At 49.7% G+C, this 22,175-nt stretch overlaps 5 annotated features.

Moving 5' to 3' along the window:
* Positions 381–1,155: an enhancer, noted in NCBI's record as "OCT4-NANOG-H3K27ac-H3K4me1 hESC enhancer chr22:27857322-27858096 (GRCh37/hg19 assembly coordinates)". NCBI's record gives its function as "activates a minimal SCP1, AML or CMV promoter by ChIP-STARR-seq in primed H9 embryonic stem cells {active_cell/tissue: H9 hESC(primed)}" and the evidence as "EXISTENCE:reporter gene assay evidence [ECO:0000049][PMID:30033119]".
* Positions 13,433–14,154: an enhancer, noted in NCBI's record as "H3K27ac-H3K4me1 hESC enhancer chr22:27870374-27871095 (GRCh37/hg19 assembly coordinates)". NCBI's record gives its function as "activates a minimal SCP1, AML or CMV promoter by ChIP-STARR-seq in naive H9 embryonic stem cells {active_cell/tissue: H9 hESC(naive)}" and the evidence as "EXISTENCE:reporter gene assay evidence [ECO:0000049][PMID:30033119]".
* Positions 13,433–14,877: a biological region, named in NCBI's record as "P300/CBP strongly-dependent group 1 enhancer GRCh37_chr22:27870511-27871710".
* Positions 13,570–14,769: an enhancer, noted in NCBI's record as "P300/CBP strongly-dependent group 1 enhancer chr22:27870511-27871710 (GRCh37/hg19 assembly coordinates)". NCBI's record gives its function as "activates an origin of replication core promoter dependent on BRD2, BRD4, P300/CBP, MED14 and CDK7 cofactors, with strong dependence on P300/CBP, by STARR-seq in HCT116 cells {active_cell/tissue: HCT116}" and the evidence as "EXISTENCE:reporter gene assay evidence [ECO:0000049][PMID:35650434]".
* Positions 14,155–14,877: an enhancer, noted in NCBI's record as "H3K27ac-H3K4me1 hESC enhancer chr22:27871096-27871818 (GRCh37/hg19 assembly coordinates)". NCBI's record gives its function as "activates a minimal SCP1, AML or CMV promoter by ChIP-STARR-seq in naive H9 embryonic stem cells {active_cell/tissue: H9 hESC(naive)}" and the evidence as "EXISTENCE:reporter gene assay evidence [ECO:0000049][PMID:30033119]".

Below are 22,175 nucleotides of genomic sequence, written 5' to 3' on the forward strand. Positions count from 1 at the left end.
CAGGGCCAGGATCAGAGTGACCATTGACATAAACCTATAGGTTTGCCACACTCTTCTTTGGGATTTGTAATTATGACTAAGGTCCACTTCCCCTCTCTGGACTTCTATTTTCTCATCTATAAAATGACATTGACTCATGTTGTACCACCAACCTTGGAAGGAAGTTCCTCTGTAAGCTTGACAAACTCCTACTCATTCCTCAAAACCCCAACCAAAATATCCTTTCCCCCGAACCCAGGTAGGAAGTATAATAGTAGTTCATTTGTCTTATGATTCTCATAGTAATAATAAAAGCTAATATTACTGGAATGCCTACTATGTGCCAGTCATTGTTCTAAGTGCCTTACATAATTTAAATAATTTGATCCTCACATTGACCCACGAGGCAGGTGTCGCCATTACCTCTATTTGCCGATGAGGACATTGAGACTCAGAGGTTAAGTGACTTGCCCAGGGTTACCCAGTTAGTAAGTGGCACCAACAGTATTTGAACCCTGCTCTGGCTCAAGTCTGGCTTAAAACCGGTCTGCCCTCAGCAATCAGGGTCCTGGCCACCTTGCCTGGGTGGTTGATATTTGGGGATGGGTGTACTCTGTAGGACTGTGAGCTCCTGGAGAATGAGGTTGGAATGCCTGCTATGCAGCAGGCATTGTTTAACTCTGAGTCTCTCCTCCCAGCCCTGGGAACCACGCTGACTCCCAGGGCTTCTGGTCTCATTTGTCACACTTGCCTCTTCCTCAAGCAGAGTCCTTGGAGGAGCTGGGGGAGGTGTGTCGTGATGTGAGCAGCTCTGAAACCTTAAGCCATTCCTCTGACCCATCAGTGCACAAGCCAGGACCCAGAACATTGAAGAGAAAGTTCACACTGGTGTGTACAGGGCCCAGAAGCTGATGGCCAAGATGGCTTCTTCTAATTGAGTGGGGATGTTGAGGCAGAGATGCAGGGGCAGAAAGCAGGGAGAAGGAGACACATTGAAGGAGACACACACAGGGACCAACACAAGACAGAAATGTTGAGAAAGACAGAGACGCAGAAGGAAGAGACAAATGTCACAGGAGAGACAGGGACAGAGACAAGGAGAAAGAGGGAGAGAGAGAGAGATATGCAGGTAGAAACCCACAGGTGGAAGAGGGAGAGAATGAGTTGGAAAGGGGAAGGGTATAGAGGGGACAGATGGAGAGGGCCATGCACAGGGACAAAGGACAGAAACAGAAAGAGGGAGAGAGACAGACAGGGAGACAGAGGGAAAGAAACCCAGGGGGACAGAGACGACCCAGAAGCCAAGACTGCAAGAGAGACGAGCTGGGCTCAGAGGCAGAGAGGATCCAGAGGACAGCCTGGCCAGGAGGGCCAGGGCACAGGGGACCGGGCTTGCGGACACCCCTCGTCACTGTTCCATCTCATCACCCTCGCTATTGATTCCTGAACAAACACTGGCTTTGTTGGCCAAACAAAACCAGGCTGAGTCTGGGCTGGGATCTCTTTTGTGTGGCAACTGTTGCCATGTGGAAAGAAAACCAGATCTAAATGATTCCACGTTTTTCCCTGTTCCTCCTGGTTCCTGGTCTTGGCAGGCAGGAGCTGGGGAGGAGGTGAGATGTGCAGCCCCTGCGCAGGAGGGGGCAGGAAGGTAAGGGTGCAGAACTCCTGCTTCTGGAAAAATAAAATGTTCCTCTAGCTCTTCTTCTTTTCTTTCTTTCTTTTCTTTTTTTTTTAATCACAGCCAAGCCCATCACACATCCAAGAGATTTTTTTTTTTTAGGGAAAACAAATCTTTTGAGACAGAGGTGACTCCGGCAGTGATAAGTGAGGAGGTTCACCTGCAAGAGTGTTATCAGCGCTCCATGGCTGCCCAGACCGCAGATTTCTCATTTTGATGAGGATCCGGCGGAATTGGATGCACCCCGGTGGTGCTCCTCTGATGAGCTTCCATGTGCAGGGACGGCAAGGGCGACTGCTGGGCCTCGTCGTCAGAGGTTGAGGGGTTTCCAGGGAGGCTGGGGGAGGCTGCAAGAAGCCTTAGGGGCTGTGCCAACTCCTTGGGGAACCCAGAGCCCCCAATTTCACCAGGCACATCCAGCAGAGGCTGAGGCAGGGAGGGTGAAGCAAGACCCAGGAAGGGGAGGGATTTCCAGAGTGACTTTCTCTTGCACCTTTTTATTTCTGTCACTTCTTCCCCAGCCTGTCCTCCATCTCCCGTGCTCAGTGTTAGAAAAGGGACCTTCCTGGTTGAGGAAGACATAGATGCCTACTGAGTCAGCTCCGCGACCAGGGCTGTGAACCCAGCCCTTTTTCTGGGCCAAGTGGCCTCAAATCCGTCTTCTTGTTTCATTCTTTCAACATCGCTTCAGGGGTTGGCAAACTCATGCTGTAAAGGGCCAGATAGTAAATATGTTCAGCTTTACATGCCACACGGCCTCTGTCACAACTGCCCAACTCTCTCACTGTAACACGAAAAACGTCGCAGACAATATGTAAATAAGCGTGTGGCCATGTTCCAATAGAACTTGATGTACAAAAGAAGATGGCAGGCCCACGGGCTGAAGTTTGCCAACCACTGATCTAGGCTAAGCCTCAACTACTCAAGATGCGGTCCCCAAACTTGGAGCCTCGGTGTCCCCAGGCACTTGTTTGAAATGCAGAACCCCAGGCACTGCCCCAGACCTACTGTGTCAGAGCTAGCATTTAACAAATTCCCCAGCAATCGGCGTGTGTGCCTGTCTGAGAAGTCCTGGTCTGTGTAAATGGAAAGCTTGCTGTCTTTTGCATATAAGGCACCATGTCCATCTGCCAAACGAGGAAACAAGCTCATAGAGAGGTCAGTTGCCCAAGGTCATGGGCCAGGAGCAGCAGAGCCAGGGTTTGTGCCCAAGGTCAGAGTCCACACTCTTGACCACCGTGTTGTACAGGAATTGAAGGAGCTTTGTAGAAAGGGACACCAGTCTCTTTCTGAAACCCACAGATAACCCAAGGAATACAGCAAGGCCTTGAAAGAGACAGGATTTTCAGGGGCTGAGGCTGTTCTCAGCCTCTCTCCCACAGGCCAAGTGGTGTCCCGTATAGACTGTGGTGTCTCTCTGTCTCTGTGCAGGGGGAACGCCTGCCTTCCCTGTGTCCCCACCTCCTGCCGGGGTTGTGGCTTCTCCTGCCTGGGGGACTGTGGAGGGTGCCAGGTGCTGAGCTGGAAACAGATGTAAACAGGAGCTTCTGGTCACCCCTAATGAGTGGAGAGTCTAATAGGGGAGGCAGATAGGTGCCAAAGTTGCCAGAGTTCAGGGCTGCTGTTATTGTCCTTATTATCATGACAGTATTCTTATTGCTACTGATAGTATTTTTCTGCCAGACTAACCCCTTCAGAAAATCTAGACTTCCCCCATGTATCTGCCAACACTAAGCCAACTGAATTTCCTTCTTCTAGAAGGGAAAACCAGATAAATACCTTCTCCCTGCTTTATCCATTAGGATGCAGATTAACTTAGAGAAAAGCTAAATATCAGTGGCTTCAATAAGATAGAAGGTTATTTCTCACTCCTGTCACAGAATTCCAGAGGCAGGCAGTCCACCCTCTGGATGGAGCTTCTTTCCTCATGGTACAACACGGCTGCTTCAGCATCAGCCATTCCATTCACATCCCAGACAGGAGGAAGGAGGCAAGGAAGAAGAGGCAAAAGGGTGTCCACCAACTGTGCTTCAAAGAGGTTTCCTTGACACTGTTCTATATCACTCTGCCTGCACCTCATTGACCAAAATTGTAAGTCACCTGGCCACACTGAGCTACAAGGGAGGTTGAGAACTATAACACTGGGAAGAAGAAAACAGATTTGAGGTGGAAAACTCAGTCTCTGCTGCCCTTATCATTTGGAGGGTGGTCTCCCAAAGCAGTCTAGGACTCACCTACTGGAGAATTCTCTTTGAAGGGTCCCAGAGAGGACCAGTAAGGAGGAGCCACCACAGGCATTCAGGTGGCACTTCACAGCATGCCAAGCACACTCTCATCCCTTTATCTTCAGACTGTGCTGGGAAGTACGAGTTGGTAATGAGGGGACCCAGGTTCCAAGAAAGAGAGAGTCTCTTCAAGATCACCCTCTGGCCAGGGACAGGGCTGGCTCCTGGGAGGCCAAGCTCAGGCCACTTTTCAACATAATGTGCCTTGAGCTGTTGAGAATATGTTCATTTCCTTTCTGTTTCTCTGTCTCTCTTGTCTCTGTTTCTCCCTGTTTCCCTGTCTCTGTCTTTCTCTTGACAGATAGATGGATGGATAGATAGACAGCCAGACATATGTGTGTATGTATATATATACTTGTGTATATCTGTATCTCTATCTTCATCTCTGTCTCTCCCTTCTTTCTGCCTTCCCCCACCAAAAAGAATTTTGAATTTCAATTTGCCAAGGCTTACCCTTTCTCAAATAGGGTGCTCCTGATAAACGCAGGCACCTCTGCTTCCTCCTTCCCTGCTAGGGCTCCCATCCATGGTGTCTCTCCCCATCCCTGCTGCTCTCATGTAAATGGGGAGATGGGCCCGGGGAGCTTGGCATCACACAGGGGCCTCTGCTAGGAGGTCCTGGGAGCCAGATGTCTCTGGGCTTTGAGGAGCGTGTCTGAAAGTGCCCTGAGCACCTGGTGCCTTCCCTACAGCTGGGGAGTCAGGAGCTTCCTCTATCAGGGCCTGTGAAAGCAAATGTCTTTAAGACCCCAGTGTGGAGAGGGGGAGAGTGGCCCCTGTAGACAGACATCACCGCACCTTTGTAATTGCCAGGCAGGCATGTGCTGAGACAGACCCATTTCACTAGGGAGAAACTGAGGCTTAGGGGCCACCATGATCGAGTCTCAGCCTTCCTGGCAGAAAGTGGTGAAACCAGGATTTGAACCAGGGCAACTCCGGAGGTCAGTGTCCTCACGGTCCCATTCCAGCCCCATCCCAGGGAGCTGCTGGGTTCTTAAATCCATAGTGAGCTGAGATTCCAGCGAAAGTCCAAATGATGCAGACAAAAGTGGTAGGAGAGGGGTAATTTGCACACGAATACAACCAGGCACCAAGGCCATGCATACACACATGTACACACAGGCATGTGGATGGGCATATGACACACATATACACATGCATGGTCACAAGAAGGCAAACGTATGCGTGCACATGCACACACAGGTGTACACATGGACACAAGCATGAATGCACACACATGCATACATGGGTGCTCACACACGCACACATGTGTGCCTGCTCTCAGGCAGGGACATACAGTTGCTTTGGCCCCAGGTTGGGGGACGGTTTCCACAGATATTCCATTCTGTGATCCCACATTGAAGACTCAATCAAAGGTAGAGGAAAGCCAAGAGCCCAGAACAAGGGTCAGTCCCCCAGCTCTGAATCTTTGATCTGACCTCAGCTCTTCAGACCTCCATGGAGGACTCTTTGGGGTATTTTGCAATCACCCAGCTCAGCCTCCACCCTACAGAACTTCCTTCTGAGTCCAGCCTGTGAGCTGGAATGCACCCAGGGATGGGAAGCTCGTTACATTTCTAAAACCAACCCTAGTGCCAGGTGGCCCCCAACTGTTGTCCAACTGATGATGGATCCTCTCTTGCTAGCCATGTGGCTTAAAAGAAAGCCTCTTCACCTCTCTGTGCCTCAGTTTACATAACCATGAGCAGGGCCATAGTACCCACCACCAACCACTCTGAGGCCCAGAGGAGCAATGAATGTGGCCAGTGTGTCCATGTTAAAGCTTTGGCTGGCTTCAAAAGAGCAGGTAGGGAAGAGGTCAGGTTCAAGAATCAGTCAGACCTGGATTCGAGTCTAAGCTTTGCCACTTGTTAGATGTGAGCGCATAGGTACGTGGCTGTTCCCCTCCAAGTCCTGGTCTCCCCATCTGAAAACAGGGACATCATATGCTGGTGTCTGACACTATGAGGCTTAAATGCCACTGGGCATGTACAGCTCTTCCCCGAAGAGGCAGAACACGTGAGAGTAATTATTCTTCATTATGGCCTCCTCCAAAGCCGTGGGCCCCTCCCTGTCTAGTGCAGGGTGTTCCTGCCTTGGGGAGGGGAGAAGCAGGGGACAGATGCAGCTACAGAGGCCTCTCTTTTGATAGAGAGCTCCATAACCTGGCATGCTAGAATGAGGCCTGGTGACAGCTGCCCTGTCCCAACCCATGAGGGTCTCCAGCCCTCACAAGGCCCGGCTGCCCTCCTGCAGGTGACTAGCTCTGGCCTCTGGCCCCTGGGGCCTTAATTTCTCATGGAGGGTTGGGGTGGTGGCCAGCGGGATTTCACTGCATAGGATGGCTGCCAGCACACATGAGCAAGAGTGTGCAAGAATGCAGTAGGGGACTACCCTCTGAACCAGAAACTCAGGTGGATCCCTGATGTTATCATCCACTCCTGTGTTATCTCCAGCAAGCCTCCATTCTACCCTGGGCCTCAGTTTCCTCATCTCTCCAATGGAGACAAGCAGGCCAACCTCAGTGGGCTGTTGTGAGAATCAAATCCACAAGCAGATGCCTGTGTGCCTGTGCTCAAGACAATACGTCATGATGATTAATTTCAATCGAACCATTTTATAGACAGAATAGCTGAGGCCCAGAGAGGGCAGGTCATTGGTCTATGGCCACACAGCATGCAGGACCCAGCCCACGCCATCCCGTTCTTCATCCCTATTCAGAGAAAGCAAAGAACTTGTTCCATTGACGTCAAGATCTTCAGCACTGGGACCCCATTTCGGACCCTCCAGAACATACACCAAGCCCACTGGGCATTGGATTAACTCTTCCTTTTTGCAAATGATCCCCGACAGAAAATCCTTCCAAAGACAAGGAAAAATATTTCCCCAAAACCTATTTACTTTTCAAATTTCAGTTGCCATAACAACTCGGCACAACTATTTATATGAAATCTTCGCCTTCCAAGTCTTGCTGAGCGCCGTGCTCTGTAAAGAGTTCAACTCGGCCCTTTCAATAACAACACATTTTTTCAATCAATTTGGGTTGGGGATTTTTTTTCTATAAACACACATCAAATATGTTTGCAAAAGTTTTTAAAGCTAACGGGGAAACGCCACATTTTATAGACTCACTCTCCTCTAATCACCCCCGGTAGTTACTTCGTGAAGCATGACAGTGACAAAAACGACTGGTCAGCTTGGTATTTAAAAAAAAAAATCTTTTAAAATTATTTCTGTTCTCGTCATCTGGGGAGTTGATAGAATCCTTGGTGGAGAGACTTGAACACCAGCTTGGGATCTGTCCCTGTCTCTAAAAGACTATGTGTCCCTAGAAAAGTCAGCAGAGGTCTCTGGCCCAGAGAAGGACATATTTTGAGCCAAATAAGCCCCTACCCAAAATTGAGAATGGAGAAGGGGTGCAGAGGCCCTGTGCCTGAGGCATCCTGCAGATGCTCTGGGGCCACAGCAGTCACGTGTTTGGATTTTCAGAGACAATTCCTGTTTCAAATTTTCTGTTCCAGGCTCCTTGTAAGCCTTTGTACAAGCTGTTCCCCTTGCCTGGAATTTCCCCTTTGTCAGCCTGTCGAGCTGACATGAAGGGACCCGTACTTGGTTTCATGCTCGGCCGTTGCTGTCTTGAAATTCTTAATTATTTGTGAACAAGACGCCCCGAGCGTTCGTTTTGCAACTGGCCCCACAGATTCTGCAGTGATACTGGCCAGTCTCTAGTGTGCTGTGTGCTTCAAGTCATTTAATCCAAGACAACCCTTTGAGGTAGGCATTGTTGTGACCTTCATTTTACAGATGAGGAAACTAAGTCCGAAGAGGTGAAAGACCCTCACTGTGCCCATGGTGGCAATACAAGCTGTTGTGCACTTCACTCTGCTCCAGGCACTTCTGTGTTACTTCATCTAAGCCTCATGAGATGGGAAATATTGTGATCCTTGTTTTCCAAAGGCACAGAGAGGTTGGGTAGTTTGCTTAAGGTCACACAGCAAGCAAACGAAGGAGCCATGCTTTCCAGAGAGGCCCATTGGATCTCACCCCAGGGGCCAGCAGTAACTTTCTCAACAGGTCTTGGCCTCCAGGCTAACTCCTTCCAGCCCATTCATGACATGGTGACCAGAACCATCCATCTCCCTTTACCTGACCTCCTGTCATGCCATTTTCTGGCCGCAAATCCTCCTATGGCTCCCAGTGCTCTACAGAAGTATCTAACCTTCTTAGCCTGACCATTGAGACCCTCAGTGACATCACCTCGGCACGCCTCTGCAGCCTCGGTGCCTGCCTGAACTCCTGGCACTTGGTGCTCTTGCTCTCCAGACTACCTGCAGTTAGATCTCTGCACAAAAAGGCTGCTTCTTGAATTGCCAGGTTAGGAACCACTGGTTCCCTAAACAGTGTTTGGCTCATGGGTATTATAGGAAAGAATTGGATAGGTTGCTGGACTTAGGTAAACTGTTCTTTTGGAGCCCCTTCACCCCCATAGCCAGGATGCTAATCCTTCCACTTCCCTCCAAGATGCCTCCTTCTCTATCCCTTGCCAGCCCTCTATCAAGAACCACCACGATTGTTCACACAGATTCCTGTACTACCTTCTCCCCAGCTTCTCCACCTCCACTCATGCCCCTGCAGTTCAACTCTCCAAACTGCAGCTGGAGAAATATTTTTAAAACACAAATCATTTCTAACCATTTCAGTATCTGCTGAATGCCCATCATTCTCAAAATGAATCTCAAAAGCCAACAAGGCCACCACATCCAAGCCCTGCTGACCTTGTTGGCCATGTCCCCATACCCCCAGACACCCCACATGAGGCTGGACCACCTCAGAACTCTGGCTCCCCATGAACCCTTCTTCCTGGCTTGCTGCTCTCCCCCTTCTGCCTCAGCTAAATAGCTCTTCTTCCAGGAAGCTTTCCCTGAGCACAGTTCCTTCCCTCAGCAAAGTCAGGCTTCTCCTGGGCTCCCATAGTCCCCTGTCCTTCCCCGTAAAAACACATATCACACTATTGCAAGCACTGGTCTGCATGGCTGCAACCTGTCCTCCACACGGAGGGTGACTTCCTGAGAGCAGAGGCCATAGTCTGTTCCTCAAGTTACTTTCCATGCTTGGAACATAGGGAGTGCTCAATAAATAGACAGATGGATGCATGCTGGATAGTGGATGGATAGATAACAGGTGAATGGGTGAGTGGATGGATGAGTGGGTGGATAGATGAATGAGTGGATGAATAAATGAATGAATGGGTAGATGGATGGGTGGAAGGATAAATAATGGATGAATGAGTAGATGGATGAGTGGATGAATGCATGGGTGGGTGGGTGGATAGATGAATAAAGGGGATGATGGATGAATGATGGATAGGTGGATGGGTGGATTAATGGATGGATGAGATGGTGGGTGGATGGGTGGATGGATAGATGGATGGATGGGTGGATGGATGGATGGATGATGGATGGATGGATAGATGGATAGATTGATGGGTAGGTAGACAGGTAGATGGGTAGGTGGATGAATGAATGGGTGGATGGATAGATAAACTGAGGAGAAGATGGATGAATGAAGGATAGGTGAATGAGTAGATGAATGGATGCATGGGATTGTGGATGGGTGGATGGATGGGTGGATGAGATGGTGGATGGATGGATGGATGGATGGATGGATAAATTGAGGAGAAGATGGATGAATGACGGATAGGTGGATGAGTAGATGAATGGATGCATGGGATGGTGGATGGGTTGATGGATGGGTGGGTAGATAGATAGGTGGATAAATGTATAGATGTGTGGATGGATGGGTAGATCGTTAGATGAATAAATAGATGGATGGATAGATAAATGGATGGATGGGTGGATGAATGAATAGATAGAAGGATGGCTGTGTAGATGGGTGGACGAAGATATGATGGATGAATGGGTGAATGAATGAATGGATGGATGAGTTGATGGATGGGTGGTTGGGTGGATGGAGGGAGAGATTGATGGGTGGAAGGGTAGATGGGTGGGTAGGTAAGCAGGTAAATGGGTGGGTGGATGAATGGATAAACTGAGTGGATAATGGATGAATGAATGGGCGGGTAGATGGATGGATGAATGGACGGATGAGATGGCGGATCGATGGGTGTGTAGGTGGCTGTATGGCTATATGGATGGGTAGACAGATGGGTGATGAATGATGAACATATAGATAGATAAGAGAGAACCCCAGGAACCACCTTGAGTAGTTAATATTTGGATGTTAAGGTGCTCAAAATTCCTAGCATGTAGTAGGCCAGCAATAAGTGTTTATTGAATTAATGGTTAAATGAATGTCACAGAGCAGCTGGTCATCAACCTTTCATGACCACCTGTTTTCTTCCCTGTTTCCATTCTCTCCACCTCTGCCTCCTAATCTCTCAGGCTCCCATTGCTTCCCACAGTTACCATGTGACTCACAGTGGCCAAATTCCCCGGATTCAGGTCTGCACATTAATTATTGAGTGATATAATCCAAATTTATCTAATGAATTAATAATAGACCATAGGGGTATTTTAACAATGAAATACTTGGAGTTGTGTTTTGATAATTACAGCAGGCTTTCATAATTACACCAAGGCTGTTAAAATAAAATCGAAATCAATGAGGTAGTGTGCAGTGACACCCCAGGAGCGCCCCCTCAAAGCTATGACAAACAGACCGACCAGGAACAGAAAGATCCTTTTAGCTCTGAATCGGGTGACGTCTGGGGGGTTGGGTGGTCAAGATCTTTGCAGGATTGTGGATTTGGGGAGAGATTCTGGGAAGGACAAGAAAAATAACATCCCAGAAATGCATCAGATGTGTGAATCAAAAAGCACCTCAAAGACCAAGAGAAGAAGCCTCTGCTTTTACAGATGAAAAGACCAAGACTGAGAGAGGAGCCATGACTCACCAAGTCAACTTCAAAACAATGGCAGAGCCTAGACCTTGTCTCCGGACTCCTAGTCCAGTGCTCTCTTGGCCCTGGACCATTCATGTGCCCTTCCTCTACCATGACAAAGCTCTCAGTGGTCTGCCTGAGCCCTGGCTATGCCTCCTGTCTCATCCTCTACAGCTCCCCATATGCACAACCAAACCACAATCGTTCATGAACTTAGACTACTCCATGCCTCTCTGCCTTTGCCTATATTGTGCCCTCTGCCTAGGATGCCTTCTCCTCCCTCCCTCCACCTCTGGACATCTGCCTGGAAAACTCCCCCAAGCAGGGATGACATCCTCCTCCTCCGGCCCTCCAGGGCCCCCACTACATAATAAGTGTTCATCTATATCCCCTAAAAGATGGAAAGCTTCAGCCAGATGCAGTGGCTCACACATGTAATGAGCCACTTTGGGAGGCTCAGGTGGGAGGATCGCTTGAGCCCAGGAGTTCAAGACCAGCTGGGCAACACAGTGAGACCCCATCTCTACAAAAAATGAAGAAATTAGCTGGCCATGGTGGTGCATGCCTGTAATACCAGCTACTTGGGAGGGTGAGGCAGGAGGATCATTTGAACCTGGGAGTTTGAAGCTGAAGTGAGCTATGATCGTGCCACCTCACTCTAGTCTGGGTGATAGAGGCGACAGAGTGAGACCATGTCTTTTTTAAAAAACAAACAAACAAAAAAAAGACGGGCAGCTTCTTGAAGGCAGAGATAAGTCCTATTCATTCAGTTTCCCTGGGATGTTAACATGGGGCCTGACAAACAGTTAAATGTATAATACAGACTTGTTTAAGGCCAGATGGTTGGAAGGAGAGGGAGAGAAGAAATGCAGGAAGGGAAAGGAACAAGAAAGTTTGGCTCGGGATTTATTTCCAGAATGTGCTTAACCAAGGCCACCGAAATAATATTTTGATGTAGAAGTGCTAGCTTGGGGACATCTTACTGGATATTTGAGCAACAATGAAATTAGAAACATTAAAGAGAGAGAAACCTTCTCAGGAGGATAAAGAGTGATAATGATGGCAGATTGGTAGATTCTAAACCACCACCCCCACCGCACCCACACACAGGCCTCGTCAAGAAGCCTGGGCTGTTGACCCCAAGGTCCTTCCCTAAGAAGTGTCCTCAGGAAGACACTTGAAAGTGTCAATTATAAATAAAAATAATTAATTTAAAAAAGAAGGCACTTAAACTTGCCACAGACATTGCCCAAAATGGGTCCCCCGTGTGGAAGTGACAAGAGGCAGCTGGGGCTGCAGTTGGTGTGATGATGAGGTTTCTGCAGCCTCCATGGTGACGTCACCACTGGTAACTACAGAAACAACGTCGAACTTCAGGTGTCAGCCTGGCTTAGCCATCTTTGCTGTCTAATGTCAACAGTCAGGTTAGGGGGAGCTGTCTAAATCATAGGAGGAGGTTGGTGAATGTAAAACATCATCACTTCCTCTTCCTCTCCCCTTCCTCCCTCATTTCAACTCCAAACAGGATCTATTGATTTCATCTTCAGGCATTATTCTAAGAGGCAGTGTAGTACTGCAGATAAAAAGTATGGACTTAGAAGCCAGACTTTCAGGGTTCAGCACTGTGGTTCACAAGCTGTGTGACCCTTGGGTGAGTCTCTTAGCTTCTCTGTGCCTCAGGGTTGCTGGGGGGATTAATGGGTTGATTTGCCTAAATGCTGGATTAAGGGATATCTGCTATTCTTACCTCCTCTGCTAAGAGCACCTTGACTTGCACTGCCCTCCCTGGCTCTTAATGTGGATTGGGTGGCACGGGACCCACCCACCAGCTCAGGGACTTAGTTAGGCACAGCCCCTACAACTGGCCAATCAGCTGAGTCCATTCCTCCGGCTACAATGATTGGTCAGAATCAAGCCCTTGACTGAAACCAACCAGTCACAGCTAATGAGATTAATCATCAATGAATATTAGCTAGTGTTACTGCTCCATTATTGTGGCAAATGTTAACTCCATCCCCCACCCACAGCCGGGTCTTGGTAGGGAGAGGGTGAAATGATGGACTAGGAGAGATTTGGGTTCCTTGGACAGATCTTGCCTTTTCCAGCAAGGTTGGGTTACATGCCCTCTCTCTCTCAGCTCCTGGAATTCCCCCTTGGCTTGCTACTGTTCTGAGATGAAGTAAACTGGGTGATTCTAAGAATGGGCCTTGAGTCTGGCAAACCCATCTGTTTCTTCCTAGCTATGGGCCCCTGGCCCTCACCTCCCGCTTCTCAGTTTCTTCACCTGGAAAATGAAGATGACTAAGGAACCTGGGCCTTGGAAGGTTCTGGGAATTCAGTGGAGTCAGGTATGCCCGGGGCTGGCACAAAGGTGGGGCTCCAGAAGAGATGCTAGCTGTGAATAACATGCCCGTCACTGCCTTCTGTTGTAACTGGCTGTGAAACGTCTGTCTTCTGCCAGACTAGGCTTCTAAGGTAGGGATGGGTTTGCTCATCATTGTGTCCGTAGCATACTGTGCAAGGCTAGACATGGAGTGGGAAGGAATGAATGAACGAACAGCAGGAGGGAGGGCAGAGGAAGGGAGAGACAAAGAGAAAAACCACAAGTCTCTCTCTTTTTTTTTTTTTTCTTGAGACGGAGTCTCACTCTGTCTCGCCCAGGCTGGAGTGCAATGGTGCGGATCTTGGCGCTCTGCATCCTCTGTCTCCCAGGTTCAAGTGATTCTCCTGTCTCACCCTCCTGAGTAGCTGGGACTACAGACGTGTGCCACCACACCCGGCTAATTTTTTATTTTTAGTAGAGACAGGGTTTCACCATGTTGGCCAGGCTGGTCTGAAACTCGTGACCTCAGGTGATCCACCCACCTTGGCCTCCCAAAGTGCTGGGATTACAAGCATGAGCCACTGTGCCCAGCTGAAAAACCACAAGTCTCCTGATGATGCTGGAAAGCCCAGCTACTCCAGCATCAAAGAGTGTTCAAAATGGGAGACTCAAGACCAGCTTGAAGCCCTTCACTCTGCAGAGATGGAGCCCAGAGAGGCCACGTGACTTCCCCAGGGACACACAGCAGGGTGTGATGGGACAGGCTCCAGAAAAGAGTGCTTCCTTCAGCTCCCTTGCAGCCTGTCTCTAACTCCCAGGCATTGGGGCCTGCTTTACCTGCCCAGCCCTCTCCCCCCTCCTCTTCACCTGGGGCCAGTCCCAACACGGGGTGCCTCTTCCTGTCTGCAGACAACACCAACCCCCAAGCCAGGTGCTCCCTCAGGTATCTCTTCCCTAAGTGGGCTGGGCTCCTCCGATGGAAAATATCCTCAGGGCTTCAGGCTGGAAGGAGTGAGATGACTCAGGGCCAGGTGGGAGAAGCTCAGGGAGAAGGAGGCTGGGGGCGCAGATGGAGGGAGTTCTTTGTAAATGAGTCAGAAAAAGAAGCCTCTCTCCGGATAATACCAAGAATCTATTGGCCCGAACTCAAGTATGCAGGACATGAATGTTAGTTTCCTGTAACTGAACTTGCAGCACCGTAGCCTCACTAGCTAAGTTCTGATCCCACCTGCCGTTCACCTGGCCTCTTAGAGCGACTGTGACACGCAGCCTCCTTCTGTGCCTTCCTCTGCCTGCCCCTCCTGGGAAGTCTGTCTCTGGTTCAGAGGTGGGAGAGGGGTCTCTCATCCCCGGTTCTTCCCCGCCTGTTGTTTATATCCAAGCTTCTGCTTTTTGAAGTTGATTATTCCCTCCTCGAGGTGATAAATGCAAACTACTTCCCGCCCTGATGGGGGGAAGGACAGGGGTTATATAGGAAGGAACAACTTTGCTTCATGTTTCAAGGATTCTTCAAGGAGAATTCCCTTCCTGATTGGGGTGTGGGTTGCCCCAAAGCACATCCTGCAAAAAGAACTGCAGTGTGTGGGGAGGTGAGAGGGTGAGGGAGTGAAGCCCGGAAGGGAAGCTTCATTAGCAAGCAAGGTTCCAATGTGGGCAGCTGGGGCACCTGAGTCCAGGGCCTCATATGACTATGTCCCAGTTCCTGGGGTTGAATTGAATGCCAGGAACCCCTTTCTCCTTGACCTGTTCCTCAAAGGGCTTCATCTGCCTCTCTGTGCCCTCTCTCGCCTGCGAGCAGGAATGAGTTTTAAACTCACAAGCGGCCCGGCACAGCAGCTCACACCTGTAATCCTGGCACTTTAGGAGGTGGAGGTGGGCCAATCACGAGGTCAGGAGATCAAAACCATCCTGGCTAACACAGTGAAACCCTGTCTCTCCTCTGGGAGCCAACATGGGACATGGCTGGGAGTTGTCTCACCCAAGGATCAAAGGAGCTGGGGTGTTTATCCTGCAGCCCCCGTAGGCTCTGCCATGGGCTGAGGGGTACTGCCCGGGGCATTAACTCCCTGGCACTTCATTGTGTTGGAAGCCATGGAGTGGGCCCACATGGGGATGGTGAGAGCCCAGGAGGAATGGGTGGGCACCAACAGCCTCTGCTACATTCACATGTGTAATATGGGGGTACAAATATTCTCATTTGCATATGGGGGTAGTTCATATGCTCATGTATGCTAGCAGCATGACCTGCACACACCAGTGCTACCCCCATCTTACAAATGAGGCAGTTGAGGCCTCGCTTACGTAAGTGCCTCACTGATAAAGGCAGAGAGGGTCAGAGATCCAGGTCTTTGGCATCTATATCTAAGAGAACCTGCTCTGTGTGATCTCAGGCCCAGAGTCCAAACCCTCGCCTGCCTCCTCTCGGCTTTATTTTTCTGGGCTGTAGATTTCACTTCCTTTTAGCCTCATTGTTTTCCTCCGCAAAGTGGGGACAGGATCGTCCCCCCTCGCAAGGCTGATGCGAAGATACAAGATAATGCGTGCACACGTGTTGTGGACCGGGCCTAGCACACTTTATGTGCTCCATAATCATTCCCCTCCCACCCTCTTCTCGGCCTCATTCTGCCACCAAGTCCCTCTGGGACTTTGGGCCAGTCCTCTGTTCAATTCAGTGAACATTTTCAGAGCCTCTGAATGTTCCATGGTTGTGGCTGCATGTGAGTCAGGCTGGCCACATCCAAGTCAGCAGTGAATCACCTGAGACGGGAGGTGGGGCGAGGCCCCATGGCGTTGTCCCGTGGGAAGGTCAGAGACAGCAGACAGAAGCAGGGACGACAGACACAGTCCGGAGGGCTGTAAGCTAGGGGTGGTGGGATCAGGTTTCTGAAACTTCCTCCACTGCCGTGTGGATGCAAGGCAGAAGCTGGCCCAGGAGGGTCACTTAGAAGGCCACCTCTTAAAACAGAGATGAGCAAAGACAACGGCTGACCTGGGGCAGGGGAATTAGGGGTGGGGGAAGGGGAGAGGAGATGCTGCCTGGGCTGGGGGCTGTCTTTCATGAGGCAGCCAGAGGAGCCAAGGATGGCCTCTGAATGGGAGGCTGGGGCTGAGTCCAGCCATCCCAGGACCTCCGGTGTGTGACTCCTGGACATACCAGTCTTTGCCATCCTAGCCCAGGCTGTCCCCACATCCAAAGCTCCCCCTGTGGTCCCACCCCTGCTGCCCTTCAGAGCTGCGACCATGGCCCTCAGGCCTGTCCACCGCCCTCGGCAACATCATGGCTAACCTGGGCTCCACACATTTCTTCCATCAGCAGACAGTGCCCCTCCGGGGGAAGCTCTGAGACCCAGCACCTATCGGGAAAAACTCAAAGGTCCAGGCGCTGAATCTAAGCCAGGTAAAAATATAGATAAAGAGTGCTGGGAAGGAGCTTTTTTGAAAACACACCCACCCAGCCCCTGGGGTTGAATTCAATGCCAGGAGCCACTTTCTCCTTGACCTGATCCTCAAAGGGCTTCATCTGCCTCTCTGTGCCCTCTCTTGCCTGTGGGCAGGGATGAGTTTTAAACTCACAAGCAGCCGGGCACGGTCTCTCATGCCTGTAATCCCAGCACTTTGGGAGGCCGAGGCGGGTGGATCACGAGGTCAGGAGATCAAGACCATCCTCGCTAACACAGTGAAACCCCATCTCTACTAAAAATACAAAAAAAAAAAAAAATCAGCCGGGCGTGGTGGCACATGCCTGTAATCCCAGCTACTCGAAAGGCTGAGGCAGGAGAATCACTTGAACCCAGGAGGTGGAGGTTGCAGTGAGCCGAGATCGCACCACTGCAGTCCAGCCTGGGCAACAGAGTGAGACTCCATCTCATTCAGATCAACAGGGGATGGTTGGAGTGTCCCAAGTCGGAATGTGGCTCCAGCAAAGAAGAAGACAACACTTGAGAGGTGGCTTCAAAATACACAACACAATGGCAGCATTCAAAGCAACAGTCACTGTTTTTTTGGTGTTGGGCCATTTTGGTTTGGTTTGGTTCAGTTCGGTTCGGTTTGGTTCAGATTGGTTTGGTTTGGTTTGGTTTGGATTGGTTTGGTTTGGTTTGGTTTGGTTTGGTTTGGTTTGGTTTGGTTTGGATTGGTTTGGTTTGGTGTGGTTTGGTTTGGTTTGGATTGGTTTGGTTTGGATGGGTTTGGTTTGGTTTGGTTTGGTTTGGATTGGTTTGGTTTGGATTGGTTTGGTTTGGTTTGGTTTGGATTGGTTTGGTTTGGTTTGGGTTGGTTTGGTTTGGTTTGGTTTGGTTTGCATTGGTTTGGTTTGGTTTGGATTGGTTTGGTTTGGTTTGGTTTGGTTTGGTTTGGTTTGGTTTGGTTTGGTTTGGATTGGTTTGGTTTGGTTTGGTTTGGTTTGGATTGGTTTGGTTTGGATTGGTTTGGATGGGAAATTTTTTTTTTTTTTTTTTTTTGCAGCTGTATCAGGGGGTCCAGAAAGGAAGGCAATGGGGATTCCTCTACTTGGGGAACTCTGCCTAGAGGGTGGGTAGATTTTCCAGGGATAGGATGGTCCCAGCCCCTGACAGATGCCAAGTTGAAGACAAGGGCACTGCTCGGAGGCCAGGTGTCTCCCTGACTGGGGAGGTCCTCCTGACTTGAGTCCAGGGCCTCATATGACTATGTCTAAGCACCTGTGACACACCTGGAGCAACACCCAGGAAGGCAGAGGGGAGGGCGAGAACCTGGTATTGACTGCCAAGTGCATGGCACAATGGACCAGGAGGAGGACGGTGGGGAGGAGGAGAGGGAGGAAGAAGGAAGAAGAAAACAGCAGGGAGGCAAACTGAGGCCCAAGGCCGTAAGGTGACAGCCAGGAATTTAGGTTCCCTAATTCTCAGCCTTTTATCCTCATTGCTTCTTTAGACTTTGGGTGGAACGTACGGGAAAAGATAATTGATGCTGCTGAAATAAAGTCAATAAAATTCTCTCTCTCTCCCTCTCCCTCCCCCCATCATTTAATGAGCACTTACTACATGTCAGGCACACTGACCCCCTCCACCTCTTTCAAGCCTCACCATTATTGTGTGAAGCAGTGGTCACAAGCCCCCGTTTCCAGGTGAGGAGCTGAGGCTGAGTGTGTTTCAGGCGCTTAACCAGAGGCCCACACCAAGCAGGTGGCCGAGCCATCCTTGCGGAGTCCCCCCGACTCCCTCCTTGCAGGAACTACTGAACTCCCCTGGCAGCAGCGGTACTGGGAGTCTGTCTGCCCCCCAGGAGACAGGCACAGGGGCTGGGCCCACAGAGAAATGGGGCCTGACTCCCCAGCCCCCTGTCACCATCCTGACGTTTCTCTATCTCCTCCCTCTCTTCCTAACCTCCTTTTTCCTTTCTCGTTCCGCTTATACTCTTCTGGTCTTGGCTCTGCCAGGAGCCTCTTCTTAAGTTTTTATTTTTAAATAACAGCTTTTTAAAAGCTTTTTTAAAAAAAAAGAAAAGAAAAAGAAAAACAGCTTTACTGAGATATAATTCACTTACTATTTAATTTGCCCGTTTACAGCACACAATTCAATCATTTTTAGTCTATTCACAATATGAGCGAAACCGTCACCACAGTCAGGCTTAGAACACTTCCACCACCCCACAAAGAAACTCAGTTCCTCTCAGCTATCACCCCATCCTCCCACCACACCCCCAGCCCCTGAAAACCACAAATCTACCTTCTGTCTCTATGGATTGCACTGATCTGAATGTTTCATAGAAATGGAATCATATAGTACATGATGTTTTGTGTCTGGCTTCCTTCACTTAGAATAATGTCTTCAAGGTTCATCCATGTTGTGGCATGTGTCAATGTGACATTCCTTCTTGAGGCTGAATAATACCCCATTGTATGGGTGGACCATACTTTGACTATTGATGAACATTTGGGTTACGTCCACACTTTGGCTCTTATGAATAACGCTGCTGTGAACATTCCTGTACAAGTCTCTGTGTGGCCATGTGTTCTCACTTCTCTTGAGTAGATACCTAGGAGTGGAATTGCCTGGTCACAGGGTAACCGCATGTTTATTCCTTTGAGGATCTGCCCCACTGTTTTCCAAAGTGGCTGGACCTTTTTTATTCCCACTCTCCCCTACTTTTCAAAAGTACCGTATATTGAGCCAGGCACTCATGGGCATCATCTCTTTGAATCCTCACCACAGTCTACCCACGGGATATCTAGGCATGACCATCACCTCATCTTCCAGATAAACTGAGGCTGAGAGACACAAGGCTGCTTGCCTGGGTCACTTGGCCGGTTGGTGTTCCAGGATCCCGATCAGCTGCCCTGCTTCCAACCACGCCACTGGGGCCATCCCTCCATCCCCAGTGGGGCCGCTGTTTGGGAGGCTGGGATGAACCACTGGGCCTGTGGCGACTCCTGCTCCAAGGAGACCCTCCCCCATGCCTGACAGGTGATCCTGGGAGGAATATTTACCCTAGGGCTCCGTCTGCCGAGTGGGAAAGCCCTCGGGTGCTGTAACTGGAGAGGCCCAGTCCTGAGGCTCTGCTGAGGCTGGAGGAAAAGCACAAAGGGTTCTTTGTCCTGCCCATTGTTTGCACTTGCAGCCAGCCTTGCTGTGCCCCTCAGACCAGCACGGGGCACGCTGGGTCTGCAGAGCAGCTGGGCTGTCTCAGGTTCTCCGGGGGGCCCCCTGGGATAAACCAGAGGATTCATTGGGGCGGAGGCAGAGGGGATATGGAAAATATTGGGAGCTTAGTAGGCACTCAGCGTATGGGAAATCATCCCCTAGACTTTTTAAAGGAGTCTTTTGTCCTTGGTTGTAAAGTCACCAGGCATATGCATAAAAAGGATGAAACAGCCCCAAGGGTATGGTTGTACTCCTCTGCCCACCCTGAGCCCAGCAGCCATGTCCATGCCTCTTGTGTGTCTTTCCAGAAAGTTTTTATGCTTATATATGAAAATGAACACGTGTGTGAGTGTGCTTCTTTTTTACATATAAATGGCGACTTTCTTTTTTCCTTAAGATTTAAATAGATTTTACTGCGACAGGGGAGACCCCACCAAGCAGGGCCAATATATGTGGTCCCAGGAGGTCAAGAAATGGTGACTTTCCGTATCCACTCCCGTCTTTCACTGCACGAAGCCCTCGGAAGATTATTCTATAGCAGTACGATGACAGCATCCTCCTTCTAGGAACTACATCGTCTTCCGTCTCTGGATGTGCCATCTTTTACTCAGCTAGTCTACATCTCAGGTGTTCCCCATCTTCTGCACACAAGTATTTGCACATGCGTGTGAGTGTGTGCTGCGAGCACATTCTTACCAGTGGTATCACTGGGTCTTGGGAGGTGTGTTTTTGTTTTTGCATGTGACAAACACAAGCAAATTGTCTTCCATGGGGGTGGCCTCGATTATCCGTCCCCAGCATGGCCCGGGAGTGCCTGTATGCCCATGATCTCACTAATAGGATAGCATCAGCTCTTTCATTTTTCTTTACTTTCTTTTTGAGACAGAGTCTTGCTCTGTCACCCAGACTGGATGCAGTGGCATGATCTCAGCTCACCTGCAGCCTCCGCCTCCTGGGTTCCAGCGATTCTTCAGCCTTACCCTTCCAAGTAGCTGGGACTAGAGGCAAGCACCACCACGCCGGGCTAATTTTTGTATTTTCAGTAGAGATGGGCTTTTGCAATGTTGGCCAGCCTTGTCTGGAGCTCCTGACCTCAGGTGTTCTGTCTGCCTCAGCCTCCCAAAGTACTGGGATTACAGGCATGAGCCATCACACCTGGCCTTTTACTTTTCACTGAAGGGAAATATACATACAAAAAAGTGCGCCTGTCATCAGAGCCCAGCTCGCTGGATTTTCACAGCATCCACGCCTCCATGAAACCAGCACTTGGATCAAGACGGGAAGGTCCCCAGTCCCTGAAGCCTGCTTGTCACTCCCCTCCCAACATAAACTTGATCTATTGTCAGTCTTTTTTGTTCACTAAAATCCCCCTTCCCTTTCCAAATTCCCCTGTCTGCATAGACCATGTCAGTGCCGCCCAAACCATATGCCAGGAAACTGAAAAACTAAAATGTTTTGATTTTTTTAAAGGAAAAATAAATCAGTAAGGACAAGGGTCCCCAAACTATTCCCCACGGGCCAAATCCATTTTGCAGTCCTTTTACGTGTGGCCCACATGCTAAAAATTATAGTCATTTTTTAAATGATTGGGAAAAAAAATCAAAAGAAGAATAGATCAGGACACATAAACATTTTATCAAATTCAAATCTCAGTGTCCATAAATAACGTTTTCTTGGCACGCAGGCACGTTCTTCATTTGTGTATTATCTACGGCCCAGTTCTTGCTGCAGCAGCGGAATCGAGAAGCTGCGGGAGAGACCCCGCAGCCTGCAAAGCTGAAAATATTTACTTCCTGGCCATTCACAGAAAATGTTTGCCAACCCATGACCTAAAGCATCATCTCTCAGAGGGTTGGGAAGGAACCTGGAAGCTGTCCCATTCAGAGGCGGGAGCTTCAACGGGACCCTGCGTCTTCTGCCTCCAAGGCCTGTGGTAGGGGCTGTCACAGGCTGCAGAGGAGTCCAGGAGGGAGATGCTACAGGTAAGGCAGGAGGATGGAGAAGAGAGAACAGACTTGAACTAGACTTAGGGTCACACCAGCAGCTGTGAGCAGCTGACGAGTGTTCCAGTGCAAGGAGAGGAGGGTGCAAGAGCCAGGGATTATACACTGATTAGCCTCCATCACCGCAGAAATTATCTTGCCTGTGCATGGTGCGAGGGTCTGGAACATACATTTAACCAAGGCAAGGAGCGAAGTGAGAGGAAGCAATATTGTGGATTGCAGGAGGTGATGGATGAGATGAGAGAAGAATCTGCATGGTCAGAATCTGTTTGGCATCGGAAGGGAAGTACCCAGGAAATTTGAGGATCGCCTCGTCCAGTTGTCTGTGGAACTGAACTGTGAGTTGTCCATGAGGGATGAATGGCAATGCCAATGTTTCCAGA

This window comes from Homo sapiens, chromosome 22, assembly GCF_000001405.40.
Source record: "Homo sapiens chromosome 22, GRCh38.p14 Primary Assembly".
Lineage (NCBI taxonomy): Eukaryota > Metazoa > Chordata > Mammalia > Primates > Hominidae > Homo > Homo sapiens.